This window comes from Homo sapiens, chromosome 2, assembly GCF_000001405.40.
Source record: "Homo sapiens chromosome 2, GRCh38.p14 Primary Assembly".
Lineage (NCBI taxonomy): Eukaryota > Metazoa > Chordata > Mammalia > Primates > Hominidae > Homo > Homo sapiens.
In genome coordinates, this window is record NC_000002.12 from 25,712,690 (window position 1) to 25,728,725 (window position 16,036).

The 16,036-nt window shown below is 45.7% G+C and overlaps 1 long non-coding RNA gene across 1 annotated transcript, besides 1 other annotated feature; it reads right to left on the reverse strand.

Annotated features, from left to right (window-relative positions):
- Positions 9,850-10,641: an enhancer, noted in NCBI's record as "NANOG-H3K27ac-H3K4me1 hESC enhancer chr2:25945408-25946199 (GRCh37/hg19 assembly coordinates)". NCBI's record gives its function as "activates a minimal SCP1, AML or CMV promoter by ChIP-STARR-seq in naive H9 embryonic stem cells {active_cell/tissue: H9 hESC(naive)}" and the evidence as "EXISTENCE:reporter gene assay evidence [ECO:0000049][PMID:30033119]".
- LOC105374332 (uncharacterized) lies at positions 11,387-12,838 on the reverse strand. The gene is made up of 3 exons (XR_939849.2): positions 12,729-12,838; positions 11,997-12,187; positions 11,387-11,652 (listed from the first exon to the last, which is right to left on the reverse strand). It is a non-coding gene; the product is annotated as an uncharacterized LOC105374332 (long non-coding RNA).
- Between the last annotated feature and the right edge of the window lie 3,198 nt (positions 12,839-16,036).

Consider the following 16,036-nt stretch of genomic DNA (forward strand, 5'->3'; position numbering starts at 1 on the left):
GAAAATGAAAGAAAAGGCGTCCAGATTGGAAAGGAGGAAGTCAAGAAAATTTACATTCTAAATTATATTCTCAATATAGGTGTTATGGAATGAATGAACTGTGTCCCACAAAAGATACGTTGAAGTCCTGAGGTCCTAACCCCCAGTACCTAAGACTCTGACCTTATTCGGAAATAGGGTCATTGCAGATGTAATTAGTTAAGATGAGGTCATGCGGGAGTAGAGTGGTCCTTAATCCAGTATGACTATCCTTATAAGAAGAGGAGAAGATGGCTAGGCGTGGTGGCTCACGCCTGCAATCCCAACACTTTGGGAGGCCAAGGCAGCCAGATCACCTGAGGTCAAGAGTTGGAGACCAGCCTGGTCAACATGGTGAAACCCCGTCTCTACTAAGAATACAAAAAATAGCCGGGTGTGGTGGTGGGTACCTGTAATCCCAGCTACTTGAGAGGCTGAGGCAGGAAAATTGCTTGAACACAGGAGGTGGGGGTTGCAGTGAGCTGAGATGGTGCCACTGTACTCCAGCCTGGGCGACAGAGCAAGACTCTGTCTCAAAAAGAAGGAAAAAAAAAAGAAGAAGAAGAAGAAGAGGAGAAGACATACAGTGAGAATGCCATGTGATAAAGGAGGCAGAGATTGGAGTGATCCACCCACAAACTAAAGAGCAACACCAGGCCAGGTGCGGTGGCTCACGCCTATAATCCCAGCACTTTGAGAGGCCAAGGCGGGTGGATCACCTGAGGTCAGGAGTTCGAGACCAGCCTGGCCAACATGGTGAAACCCCGTCTCTACTAAAAATACAAAAATTATCCAGGCTTGGTGGTAGGCGCCTGTAGTCCCAGCTACTCAGGAGGCTGAGGCAGGAGAATCACTTCAGCCCGAGAGGCGGATGTTGCAGTGAGCTAAGATCACGCTATTGCACTCCAGCTTGGGGGACAAGAGCGAGACTTTGTCTCAAAAAAAAAAAAAAAAAAAAAAAAAAGCAACACCAGAAGCTAAGAAAAGGCATGCAAGAAATTCTCCACTAGAGTTTTGAGAGAATGTGGCCCTGCCAACACCTTGATTTCAGACTGCCAGCCTCTAGAACTGTGGGAAAATGAATTTCTGCTGTCTTAGGCCAACCCGTTAGTGGTAATTTGTTCTGGTAAATTGTATTTTTAGTAGAGATGGGGTTTTACCACGTTGGCCAGGATGGTCTCAAACTTCTGACCTCAGGCTATGAGCCACCGCAACCGGTCTGTGACAGATTCTGTTTGGATGTTTACCCAAATCTACCCCCATTTCTTCTCCAATAAATGGAGCTCCAGTTTTGCTTAGGAGTCTACTTGCAAGAGAAGATGACCCCCTCCTTAGCTCAATGGTAATCCTGACTAGACCCTGTCAGCCTGGCAATCACCTTCCTTTTGCCAAAGACTGGCTTAGGGATGGGCAAGTGAGGGGACCCTGCTGGTGAGCTTCTGGCAATGATTTTCTCCCTCTTCATAAGAGATATCTTCTTCTTCCACTGCACACTGTCACGTCTCACCTTGCAGCTGGGACTGTAGTAGCTTCTCATGATCAGGAGGAGACCCAAGGTAAAATCTGAGGTCATGAAGATGGATATGTACAGGTAGGAAAACCAGTTGGAAGGTTTTACAGGTGAGAGATCCAGGTGAAAGATGGTGTCTTGGCCAGCGTGGTGAAGATGGAGGTGGTGGGAAGATGCTGGAATATTTCGAAGATAGTGTTTTGTATAGTATATATTTTGAAGAAAGTGTTTAAAGGATTTAGAGGCTGGATGCAGAGTGTAAGAGAAAAACATGAGTTAAGAAATACTGGATGGGGGTGGTGCCTCATACCTGTAATCCTAGCACTTTGGGAAGCCGAGGCAGGAGGATCACTTGAGTCCATGAGTTTGAGACCAACCTGGGCAACATAGTGGGACACCATTTCTAAAAACAAACAAAAAGTTAGGCAGGCGTGGTGGCGCACACCTGTGGTCCCAGCTACTTGGGAGGCTGACGTGGGAGGATCTCTTGAACCTGGGATGCTGAGGCTGCAGTGAGCTGTGGTTGCACCATTGCACTCCAGCCTGAGCAAGACCTTGTCTCCAAAAAAAAAAAGAAAAAGAAAAAAGAAAAGAAATACTCAAAGGTTTCAGCTTGAGAGCCTGGAAGGAGGTGTTTTCACTGAGATGGGAAAGGCAATGGGAGGAGCAACATCTGCAAGGAATTGAAGTTCAGTCTGCACAGTTAAGTGTGAGATGCCACCTCCAGGCGGAGAAGTTGAATAGGCAGTTAGATATGCTGGAGTAGAGCAGAGAGGTCCACACCAGAGACATGAATTCAGGCTGTTAAACATGCTGGAGTACAGCAGAGAGGTCCACACCAGAGACATGAACTTCAGTGCTGCCAGCATGCAGATGGCATTAAAGACTTGAGACTAAATGAAGTCACTCACAGAGTGAGGATAGAAAAGAGAAAGGACTGAGCAGGAGCTCCCGTGTGGATGAAGAGAAAGAGCCCCTCTGCACAAAAACATAAGAACAAAACACAAATATATAAGGTCACTACAGTATCTAACTTTTCATTCAATAACTGCTAGGAGTAATAATAATAATAATAGCTTACTATGTGCCACGCCTTTGTAGATATATTTTCTAATTTAATCCTCACAAAACCGCATTAGCAATTTTAAAATACCAATTAAATCATTTAATGCTACCACGACACAAGCCAAAATAAATAAAAATAAAACCCAGTTTGGGGGGGCTGTGGGAAAATAGACCCCTGAAGCACAGCTGGTGACACTTTAACCAGAGAGGAATGTGGCAGCAATATAACAAGGGTTCAAAACTCAGCATACCTTTTAAAGGAGAAAGAACTGTGATATGTGTTCACTGTAGCTCTGTGACATGTTCACTGTAGCTCTGTCAACAAGCATAGACCAACAGCGGTGGCTCACGCCTGTAATTTCAGCATTTCAGGAGGCCGAGGTGGGAGGATCACTTGAGGTCAGGAGTTTGAGACCAGCCTGGCCAACATGGTGAAACCCTGTCTCTACTAAAAATACAAAAATTAGCTGGGCATGGTGGCGTGCATCTGTAGTCCAAGGTACTTGGGAGGCTGAGACAGGAGGATCCCTTGAACCTGGGAGGCAGAGGTTGCAGTGAGCCGAGATTGCGCTATTGCACTCCAGCTTGGGCGACAAGAGTGAAACTCAGTTTCAAAAAAAAAAAAGAAGCATAAAAAACTGGAAAGACCCCAGCCGGGTATGGTGGCTCACGCCTGTAATCCCAGCACTTTGGGGACTCTGTCCCCCACCCCAAAAAAAGAGGAGAAATGTTCAACTATCATAGGGTAGTATATTAACAGGGAATAAGGCTTAAATGGTGGCTAGAAGAACTAAATGAAGGCCGAGTGGCAGCTAATTTGAAGCCAGCAATTCTATGTTTAGAAGGACATTGTTCCTTAACATACATTATTGATTTCTAGTTTCCACTGTACTTTATGCATGGCTCCTACCCAAGTTCTTTCTCTGTGAAGCTTAATGTTATTTTAAAAAATTATTTATTTATTTATTTATTGTAGACAGAGTCTCGCTCTGTCACCCAGGCTGGAGTGCAATGGTGTGATCTTCACTCACTGCAACCTCTGCCTCCCAGGTTCAAATGATTCTCCCGTCTCAGCCTCCTGAGTAGCTTGGATTACAGGTGCCTGCCATCATGGCTGGCTAATTTTTGTGTTTTTAGTAGAAACAGGGTTTCACCATATTGGCCAGACTGGTCTTGAACTCCTGACCTCATGATCTGCCCACCTCGGCCTCCCAAAGTGCTGGGATTACAGGCGTGAGCCACCGCGCCCAGCCAATGTTACTTTTTTAATGGAGCCATGTGAGGGGAAGAGGCACTGTAGGGTAAGGAAGGGGATTAAAGATGTAGCACTCAGGCTACTAAACAATGCATTGCCAGGCCCTTTCTCCTCTGCCTGAAACGTGTAGCCTTTCCTCTCTGAAATTTTCACACCTCCTTCAAAGACCAGATCAGATGATATTTCATACACAGAGCCACCTCCAATCTGCTAGTCAGACTGGATCCCTGCCCTGTGTTCCTGTGGTACTTTTGATCCTGCTGTTATGGAATTTTATGTATTGTTCTAAAATTAACTGTGGACATGCCTTCTTTCCTCCATGTCAGGAGTGTGCTTAATTATTTTTGTCTGTCAAATATCAATATAGTGCCTGGCAAATTATAGGTGCGTGATAAAGGCTTGATGACTGATTGGATCCCTTGTAGATTCATTGTAGATTCATTGACTCATTTATTCCTTACAGATTCCTTAATTGCCTGCTAGGGAATAAGTTTTGGGACTATTCCATCTGGACTCTCCAGATCAGTCTAACCTGTCCAGTTCAATGCAGCATCTCTGAACTGGGAGCATAGGGAAGCAAACAGGACTCTTGTTTATGTTTCTTGAGAAAAGACTTAAAAATAAGGCAGGAGGCAGAGGATATAATGTTAGCATCTAGGAAAAAAGGAGATCAGATTCCATTCTTACATGACCTTCCTTCTCTAGACAGTCCTGTCATTCTTTCTAGCTTCCCATCTTGAGATCTGCTCAGCAACTAGACAGAAGAGATGGAAGCAGAATGAGAAGAAGGATTCATACCTTGTCTTATGGTGGAGTCTAGATGAAAACATGGCCGGTGGCCGGGCGCAGTGGCTCATGCCTGTAATCCCAGCGCTTTGGGAGGCTGAGGCAGGTGGGTCGCTTGCACCCAGGAGTTCAAGACCAGCCTGGGCAACATGGTAAAACCCCATCTCTACTAAAAATACAAAAAAAAAAACATTAGCCAGGCGTGGTGGCATGCACCTGTAATCCCAGCTACTTGGGAGGCTGAGGTGGGAGAATCACTTGAACCCAGAAAGTGGAGGTTGCAGTGAGCCGAGATTACGCCGTTGCACTCCAGCCTGGGCAACAGAGCGAAACTCCGTCTCAAAAAAAAAAAATATGACACATACTAGCCCACTGAAAACAATAGCTGAGCTAAGTGCCCCTGCTGACAGAAGGAACACATGCAAATAGGCTCATGCTCTATAAGGACACTGAGGAGAAGGGAGAAGATCACTTGGAGTGAGCTTCTGAGTGTTACATAGAACAATAAATGCAATAATTTAGGAACGATAATGCGTTGTCTTAGTTAATGTGCTTATCCCTATTTGGAATTATATTATCTACATGGACATTTCTTTCCCACTATTATCCCCCCCAACAGAATGTCAGCACCATGAGAGCAGGAACTATATGTGTCTTATGTCCCCCAGGGTCTTGAAAAAGCCTACTAGGTGCTAGTAGTAGCCAAATAGTAGTTCAGTAAATATCTGAATACATTTTTATTTTATTTTATTTTATTTGAGATGAAGTCTTGCTCTGTCATCAGGCTGGAGAGCAGTGGTGCAATCTCAGCTCACTGCAAGCTCTGCCCCCCGGGTTCAAGTAATTCTCCTGCCTCAGCCTCCCTTACAGGCATGCACCTCCACGCCCAGCTAATTTTTTTTTTTTTTTTGGATTTTTAGTAGAGAGGGTTTCACCATGTTGGCCAGGATGGTCTCAATCTCTTGATCTTGTGACCCACCTGCCTTGGCCTCCCAAAGTGCTGGGATTACAGGCGTGAGCCACTGCGCCTGGTCTACACTTTTATTTTTTATTTTTTGAGACAGGGTCTCATTCCTGTCACCCAGGCTGGAGTGCAGTGGCGTGATCACGGTTCACTGCAGGCTCGATTTCCTGGGCTCAAGCAATCGATCCTCCCACTTCAGCCTCCCTAGTAGCTGGGACTACAGGTGTGTGTCACCACACCTGGCTAGTTTTTTTTTTGTGTGTGTGTTTTTAGTAGAGATGGGGTCTCTACTCTCTATTTTTAGTAGAGAGGCCGGTCTCAAACTCCTGGGCTCAGGTGATACACCCACCTCGGCCTCCCAAAGTGCTAGGATTACAGGAGTGAGCCACTGTACCTGGCCTACATTTTTAAAAAGTATAAGCTACTAACTTTCTAACTACTACTATACAACTAATTTTCCATGCATTAAAAAAGAAATGAGAAGGAAGGACCAAGCATTTGAGTTCATCTACATCAATAGAATTTGATTAGCAAAATAATAGAAAATAATTTTAAGCTGTAACATATGCAATGTATGACATGAGTTCACACGATGAAGGGAAGGGATGTCATAGGTGCGATTGTTCACTATCATTTTCCCTGCAGAATTAAGAACAGAATTTGACATGAAGGTTATGAGTACACAGATTTGCATCTTGGCAGGCCAGTGTATCACCTCTTAAACAACAGTTGTACCTAGACGGAGGGGTGAGGCAAACCTGTCCCATGTCCTTTCTGTGAGATGCCATCCTGATCTCCTCACCTCAAGTAAGCCAGCTCCCTTGTCCAGGAGGAACCACCCACCCAGGCTTACACCTGGTGTGGGTTGTGGGGGTGCTGACACCACCCGCTTATTTGAACCTTGTTTCTGTTCTGTTTCCTTTTGTTCAGCTTACACCTCCACAGCAGACCTAGTTTCCTCCCTGTAGTGGTGTTCCCAGTTAAGGGAAATGGTGTCACTGTGCCCCGCGGCTCCTCTTTGAATTAAAGCATCTTGGTTTCAACCATCTCTGCTAGAAATGGTTATGTGCTTGGCTTTCCTAACTAGCTGGACTCCTGGTCTGTGCTGCCTGGCAGCACTCACTGACTTACACCAACAACCAGGTTGGTGACCACACAACTGCCCAAAGCAAAACTTTTTTAAAGAATTGAAGAGTCCTACGTGATAAATATATGTAAAAAACACAGCTTACTCCTATACCCAGCTAGCCTTCTGCCTCATACATTTGTGTGTGTGTGTGTGTGTGTGTGTGTGTGTGTGTGTGTGTGTATGTATTTAGCATGCATGCTCCCCAACACTGCACCTTCCCTGGGTGGGGTCTGGGCAGTCTGCCAAGACCTCTGGCTTATCTGATGCCAGGCATCCTGCCCAGGCCTCTCTGGGAGGCAGGGATTCACTCGGTGGTCCCGTCTACAGCAGGAGCGGTGAGCAAGTGCTGGATTATGGGTTCTGCCTCATCTTGTTCAATCTCATAATAAAGGCTGCCTGTTTTGCCTCTGCCTGTTCTTACCTGGCCAGTCCAGTCCTGCCTGCTATTCGTCCTGGTATTCCTGCTACACACTTGCTTGGCAGAGCTTGAAGCCTGTTGGCTCTGGACCAGGTCCTGTTCATCTGCCCCTCCCAAGCCCACACAATAGAGAATATGATCCCCCGACTCAAAACCATTCAGGGGATTAGGACACATGGGATGCAGGAATGGCAATCACCAGCTCCACTCTGGAAGATATGTGTGGAAAGACTATGGAGTCAGCCTAACCTTGCATGTTTCAAATCTCAGGACACCATAGAGCAGCTTTGTGATTTGAACAAATCATGCAACCTCATAGGGCCTCAGTTTCCTCATTTGTACCATAGAGATGATACAGTAAAACTCCAGCATGGCGTGATGAGTGGGCAGGAGCGGTCAATCTTATAAAATGCAAGGGTGCATTAGTGAGAAATGTATGTCATGATTTGGGTTTCCAGGGTTCTGGCTATGCAAGTTAAATCCTTCCCAGGCTCAGCTGTGGTTTACAGCCACCTGGGCATTGTTTACTCCAGTTTAAATATTGATGGCAACAAGCATGGGTCCTGTGGCTGACTAAAGTGCCCAGGACAGCAGAGGAATTATTCCAGGAATCTCCTAGTTACCTGCCACCTTGTTTTTTGGATCCAGGGAAATGTGGCTGAGCAAATGCAGAGGAAATGGGGACTCACTCTGCTTCTCCTCTCCCCAAAAGTGAGTTGCAGTCCTCCCCCTTCGTGTTGGTAGAAATTTTAGCTCATTCCCATAGAAGCTGGGGGAAGGCAAGGAACTGGGAATCAAATAACAATTGCATGACTATCTGGATTTGCTTTATTGAAGAGTCTTACTTTAATGCCTATCCTATTAGTGTTGTTGTAAAGATTAAGGATGATATATGAACATGTCATAGTGCTTAGCACATAGTATTTGCTCATTAAATGGTAATAATGTCACAAATGTTTTTAAGCACGTACTGAGCCCTGGGCACTATACTGGGTGTAATAACCATAGCAGTGACTGTGACACATATTGTTCCTTCTCTTTTGAAGCACAATAGTTTAGCAGAAGTCACAGCTTGGAGCAGTGCCCTGGAACCTGTGAAGGTTAAGCTATCACTATATTTTTTTCTAAAACACCATTTTTCCCTAAATACTTGAAAACACTTAAGGTCTTATATGTATGTTTTGGAACAGAATACTTCACCCCCTTCTCTAAAGCAGTGGTTCTCAAGAGGGGTTGATTTTCATCTCCCAGGGGACATTTGGCGATGTCTAGAGACATTTTTTATAGTCATAAGTTGCATATGTGTGTGTGTGGACGTGCACTCCTGGCATCTAGTTGAGTGGAGGCCAGCGATGCTGCTAAACATCCTGCAATGCCCAGGTCAGCCCCTACAACAAAGACTTACCTGACCCAAAGTTTCAAGTGTCAAGGCTGAGAAACCGTGGTCTAGAAGGTACGTGCTTAGTCCACAGTCATTTATTTTTGGCTGCCAAGGCAGAGAAACACCTTTTACTCTTAAAGTCTTAGAAAGCCTGGCTTTTATATTCTGTGTTCCATGACACTTGCCCATGTTCGAGGAGAGGGTGGACAAAGCTATCCTAACTTCTGGATTCAGAAACACATTCCTCTCAGGGCAGAGAAAATTGACCTGCGAGTGATTGCTTCAGAGTTTTCAGCACTCCAACATAATTCTTTTGGTGAAGGTGATATTTAACTGATTCTCTTATATAAATAAGTTGTTCAAACAAAAAGCTCCTGGAAAAGATCTTGCCTTCTTTACCCTTTGAAAACCCTACCAAGATATGCAAATGAACCACATCATCTCCAGGTCACTGAACCTGTCTTCAGCTCATTTGGCCTTCTTTCTTTTCTTTTTAAAGTGTTTTCAAAGTTTGCTTGGGCATAATTAATCCAATTTGGTCTTTGGGGCAGCCCAGATTTCAGAGTAATGGGGTTCAGGGCACACATGTGCAGCAGGGCAATCAGATTTTGGACAAAGCAGAGGATGAGGAAGAGTGAAGCAAAATAGAACAACATCAGGAAGGGGTGCATGTAGCACAGAGAGAGGGAGAGAGAGAGAGAGGACACCAAAGAAGCAGGGAACTAACCAACACAGAAAAATCAAAACCACCAGAATGGCCAGTCCTCTGCTCAGCTTCATGCACCCTGGTTCCCCACCTCGACTTACTTCTTTGCCTCCTGCTCCGCTTCCCAGAAGCACTTCGGTGGATTTGAGCCTACTTCCTCTCTTCTACCTTCTGGGTAGTGGGAGAGTGCCTCTCTCATAGCTGGGTTCTGAAGCAGAATCCTGTCTTGTAGCAGCATTCCCCTCTGAAGGAAAGCGAGGAGGTGTATATAAAATTCATGATATTAGGTTCGTGCAAAAGTAATTGCGGTTTTTGCCGTTAAAAATGGCAAAAACCACAATTATTTTTGCACTAACCTAATAATTTTGGCATGCTCACTTTATCATAGGGGATTATCAGCAAATATGTACTGTTATTGTTGTTGATGAAGCTTGGATAGCCACTAGTTAGTGCCAGACACAAGATGTATGAATCGTCTCTCCACACTTTGGTTGGATGGTGATTCAAACTGTGACATGAACCTTTTGAACTCTATTTTGTGCCCTGTTGGCAAAACAAGCTACATCCTTTTCTTAGAAATGAGATTTGATTTTTAAATATGCAACATCTGATCTGAAATGTGCAAAACATTTTTTTCTATTGCAGTCTTTTACTTGGAACTTGTTGCAGATGTCAAATGTGGTATTACAGAATCTTATTATATTACAGATAGAACAATTTTTTTTTTTTTTAAATTGATCATTCTTGGCTGTTTCTCGCAGAGGGGGATTTGGCAGGGTCACAGGACAATAGTGGAGGGAAGGTCAGCAGATAAACAAGTGAACAAAGGTCTCTGGTTTTCCTAGGCAGAGGACCCTGCGGCCTTCCGCAGTGTTTGTGTCCCTGGGTACTTGAGATTAGGGAGTGGTGATGACTCTTAAGGAGCATGCTGCCTTCAAGCATCTGTTTAACAAAGCACATCTTGCACTGCCCTTAATCCATTCAACCCTGAGTGGACACAGCACATGTTTCAGAGAGCACAGGGTTGGGGGTAAGGTCACCAATCAACAGGATCCCAAGGCAGAAGAATTTTTCTTAGTACAGAACAAAATGAAAAGTCTCCCATGTCTACCTCTTTCTACACAGACACGGCAACCATCCGATTTCTCAATCTTTCCCCCCTTTCTATTCCACAAAACCGCCATTGTCATCCTGGCCCGTTCTCATTGAGCTGTTGGGTACACCTCCCAGACGGGGTGGTGGCCGGGCAGAGGGGCTCCTCACTTCCCAGTAGGGGCGGCCGGGCAGAGGGGCCCCTCACCTCCCGGACGGGGCGGCTGGCCGGGTGGGGGGCTGACCCCCCCACCTCCCTCCTGGACGGGGCGGCTGGCCGGGCAGAGGGGCTCCTCACTTCCCAGTAGGGGCGGCCGGGCAGAGGCACCCCTCACCTGCCGGACAGGGCAGCTGGTCGGGCGGGGGGCTGACCCCCCCACCTCCCTCCCGGACGAGGTGGCTGCTGGGCGGAGACGCTCCTCACTTCTCAGACCGGGCGGTTGCCAGGCAGAGGGTCTCCTCACTTCTCAGACGGGGCAGCCGGGCAGAGACGCTCCTCACATCCCGGACGGGGCGGCAGGGCAGAGGTGCTCCCCACATCTCAGACGATGGGCGACCGGGCAGAGAGGCTCCTCACTTCCCAGATGTGATGGCGGCCGGGAAGAGGCGCTCCTCACTTCCTAGATGGGATGGCGGCCGGGCAGAGACGCTCCTCACTTTCCAGACTGGGCAGCCAGGCAGAGGGGCTCCTCACATCCCGGACGATGGGCGGCCAGGCGGAGACGCTCCTCACTTCCCAGACGGGGTGGCGGCCGGGCAGAGGCTGCAATCTCGGCACTTTGGGGGGCCAAGGCAGGCTGCTGGGAGGTGGAGGTTGTAGCGAGCCGAGATCACGCCACTGCACTCCAGCCTGGGCACCATTGAGCACTGAGTGAACGAGACTCCGTCTGCAATCCCGGCACCTCGGGAGGCCGAGGCTGGCGGATCACTCGCGGTTAGGAGCTGGAGACCAGCCCGGCCAACACAGCGAAACCCCGTCTCCACCAAAAAAATACGAAAACCAGTCAGGCGTGGCGGCGCGCGCCTGCAATAGCAGGCACTCGGCAAGCTGAGGCAGGAGAATCAGGCAGGGAGGTTGCAGTGAGCTGAGATGGCAGCAGTACCGTCCAGCTTCGGCAAGGGAGAGGGGAGAGGGGGATAGAACGATTTCTGAGGCCATCAACAGATGTTATGCCTGCATAAGAAAATCATCCACAATGGAAAGTCACAAGTTCATAAAAGTCATTTGTAGTATCTGTGGTTAATAGGATTTTATCTGTGTTCTATGAAGCACTACTCTTTTTAAAAATGTTTTTGCTGGTTGATGCCAAGTGTTCTGCAGGTCTTCCCTAAAAGAAACAAGAATTTAATAAAACCATCCTGAAACAATATTTCATTTTATCCCAAACCTTAACGGCTATGCACACATCTTGACCAAAGTACCTTGCCTTCTCTTGAATTTCTCTAACTTTGGTTTTGAATTCAACTCTTAGGGATCCATTGAGTTTCTCCTGGCTTCCTTCAAACATATTTAATAAACTGCCCACTGCCTTGCACATAGTATGTGTTCAGTGTTTGTTAGAACAACAAGAAGGGTTTTGCAAAATGGAATATCAATACTTTATGCAACTGACTGTCAACTGGGTTTCCACCGATGGCCTTTTCTTGTTCCCTGCCCTCATCTGAGCATTACCAGGACTGAGGAATCTCTCATCAGGCCAGTGTCCCTCCAATTCTGATGGAGTCTGGATTGTGCTGGAAAGTGAAGGAGAATTATCGCCATGGTCTTCCTCAGCAGCTCAGACGTTTCTCAGTCAGCATGTATGCTCTGTTAACATTTATCTCCAGGCCCGAGGGGTCAGGTCAATTATATAGAAGTCCAAGCTAGTGAGAGGAATGGAAATGATGAGGCTTGAAAATTCTTCACTCTTTGTTCTTCTAATGGGTGACAGGATAATTAGTCCAAATGAGGTGCAGCCTCTCCCAGACTATATTTAGTCTAATTGCAGAGCTTTCTTTCCCCTGGAGGAGCCTTGGATCTCTCCCTGGTGGATGGTAGTGCCCAAAAGAGAACAATATCAAGCAGGCCGGCCGCAGCCATAGCGGGGCATACTCTCCCCTTCTCAGGAGGGAGGTGGGGCTAGGGCAGCTCAGCTTGTGTCCAGGATGCAGAAAATGGGGTTCAACCCCCAACTCTGCCACTGGCTAGCTGTGTAACTGAGGACCCCCGATCCCCTCTGAACCTCGGTGTTTTGTATGTTCAATAAGCATGATAATCTCTACCTCACAGGAGAGTAATGCGGATGAAATGTGGTAACTTTTGCCAAGTGCTTTGTGAATTGCAGCTGTGTGACATAAATGTGGGTGGACTGCCATAAATAACAGAAAAACCCAGATTTCCCCCTTCTTCTCAAAGGGCCAGTACCTGTTTAACCTTGACATGTGAGGCTCTGTCACACTTAAGAGGAGAGTCTGCCATCACCTTCGCTCCCTTCCTCCTCCTGAGACCACTGTTTCCAACCCTTAAGCACATGGTTAATGCTAAAAAAAAAAAAAAAAAAAAAAAAGTGATTGCCAGTATTACTATTTGCAATTAAAATAGAAGTATTGATTCAGCAAAGAGAAGAGACACAGTGTTGTGTTAGTCCATTTTGTGCTGCGATAACAAAATGCCTGAGCCTGGGTAATTAATAAAGGAAAGAAACTTACTTCTCACACTCCTGGGATCTGGGAAGCCCGAGGTCAAGGCACCACCATCTAGTATGGGTCTTCCGGCTGTGTCCTCACGTGGCGGAAAGCAGAAGGGCAAGAGAGAGCAAACCCCCTCCCACAAGCCTCACCCTTTTTAACTTTTATTTTTTTCAGGACGCAAGGTCTTCCTCTGTCACCCAGACTGGAGTGCAGTGGCGCCATCATAGCTCACTGTATCCTCAAACTTCTGGGCTCAGGCAATCCTCCTGCTTCCGCCTCAGGAGTAGCTAGGACTATAGGTGTGTGCCACCATCCCCAGCTACATTTCCAATATTTTGTGTGTGTGTGTGTGTGGAGATGGGGTCTCACTATGTTGCCCCGGCTGGTTTCAAACTCCTGGCCTCAACCAATTCTCTCACCTTGGCCTCCTAAAGTGCTGGGATTACAGGCATGAGCCAGCATGCCAGGCCCCATTTTTATAATAAAGCAGCATTTATCCATTCACAAGGGTGGAGCCTTCATAACCTAACAACACCCTAAAAGCCCCTACCTCCCAACCATTGTTGTAGTGGGGAATACATTTCCAACACATGAATTTGGGGGCACACATGCAGACCATAGCAATAGTATACTGAATTGTTTAAATGTACATACTTGCAAATAAATTGAGAAGAGGTAATGTTTAGAAAAGCATTTTTTTCATTCACAATAGGAACGCCTAAAAGAATATAACATTGATATGCCTTTATCTGCTCAGCTATAAGTTTATGAATTTAATCATTTTAATATAATTTGACATTAAAGTATTTAACTTTTCCCTCTCTGAGATGACTTCCTTCCCCTTCTTGAATTCTGTTTGTCCTGTTTCCCCACCCCTCAAATGTAAAAAAAAAGAATTTGAAAATTACAAATGAATTATATTGAATTAGACATATATTTACTGAACCCCTAGTATGCAGAACTAAAAAAAGATGATTGAAACATATGGGTTTTCCCCTCCAACTCATCCTTGTCATAATACTCCAGTGACAACATACACATTCAGAAGCATTCATTACCAAGGCTCTCAGCATTTTAAACATTTCCTTTAACATCCTTAACACTGCCGATCCAGCTGAGGTAATAAGGTGCTTTTCCTTCTCAGTGATTCGTCCTGCACCCTGCCAAACCTTTCAGTCAAACAATGAGGTCGAAGCTTACTGTCCCAAGGAAAGAGGATGGACATTAGCTAAAACAAAGACATTATGGCTCAGCTTCGTGCTTCAACCAGACTTTTTTTTTCTTTTCATTATACTTTAAGTTCTAGGGTACATGTACACAACGTGCAGGTTTGATATATAGGTATACATGTGCCATGTTGGTTTGCTGCACCCATTAACTCATCATTTACATTAGGTATTTCTCCTAATGATACCCCTCCCTCTGCCCCCGACCCCAACAGGTCCCGGTGTGTGATGTTCCCTGCCCTGTGTCCAAGTGTTCTCATTGTTCAATTCCCACCTATGAGTGAGAACATGCAGTGTTTAGTTTTCTGTCCTTGTGATAGTTTGCTGAGAATGATGGTTTCCAGCTTCATCCATGTCCCTGCAAAGGACATGAACTCATCTTTTTTTATGGCTGCATAGTATTCCACGGTGTATATGTGCCACATTTTCTTATCCCAGTCTATCATTGAGGGACATTTGGGTTGGTTCCAAGTTTTTGCTATTGTGAATAGTACCGCAATAAACATACGTGTGCATGTGTCAACCAGACTTTTTTAAAGTCCATAGTGAGACAATTGTCTTGAAAGCTAGGTTTTTTTGAGAAAGATAGAGCTATTTCTTAGAAACCCTAAAGCTGGGTTTCTACATATGAAGAAATAAAGCCTCTTAGAGGACTTATAATAAAGAATAAACCAGAGAGAGTAGGAAGCATAGATTTGTGCCACGCATGGAGGAGAAAGCCCTTCCACCAGACAGGAAAGGATCTGGGGACAAAAAAAGAGAAGGGCAGGAATTTAGGTGCAAGGTCTCTTGGCTGACCTGTGTCAAAACTGCAATAGTGAAATACTCACATGAGTATGGGTTGATCCAAGAATATCAAGGCTAGTGTCCTTATTCCCCACACTCAGTGTGGGGATACTAATTGCAAGGCTCAGATAAACTGTGGTATTGGACTGACAGAGTAGCAATGGCTGAGAGAGGTGCCTCAGCAGGTGGGCCTGGAGTGTAGCCCCATCAAATACTTTATAATCCAGAGCAGGGTAGAGCAGCGTTCTCAAACTTTCTGGTCTCAAGAAGGCAGACTAAGTGTCTACTGAGCCTGTTTCTCTAGGGAATGGTTTTTGGATTCGGGATACAATATCAAATATATATATGTGTGTGTGTGTGTGTGTGTGTGTGTGTGTGTGTGTGTATCTGTAATTTCAGTATTTTTGATTCCTCAAAAAGTCTTAAAGTGTTGGGAAACTGTCTAGCTCATGGTGGTGGATATATAGTTCCCCCCAATGTTTTACTTTAAAGCTCAAATTTTAACATTGCCAACAAATACTGTCAATTGCTGTTTTTTTTTGTTTTGTTTTTTTTTTGAGGCGGAGTCTCACTCTGTTGCCCAGGCTGGAGTGCAGTGGTGCGATCTTGGCTCACTGCAACCTCTGCCTCCCGGATTCGAGTGATTCTCCTACCTCAGCCTCCCAAGTAGCTGGGATTACAGGCATGTGCCACCACACCCAGCTAATTTTTTGTATTTTTTTAGTAGAAACGGGGTTTCACCATGTTGGCCAGGCTGGTCTAGAACTCCTGACCTCAGGTGATCCACCTGCCTCGGCCTTCCAAAGTGCTGGGATTACAGGCGTGAGCCACCACACCTGGACAGTCAATTGTTCTTAAGTGACAGGCTCACTTTGTTCATTTTCCAGGAAATCCCCAAATCTGAACAACCATAGTCAGTCCTTCTCTTAAGCAGTGTTCCATGAAAAAAGCACTAGCTCAGCTCATGATTCAATCACACAAATACTTTTTCTGTTACTATACCTTAATATGCAGTGAGAGTGTTTTATGT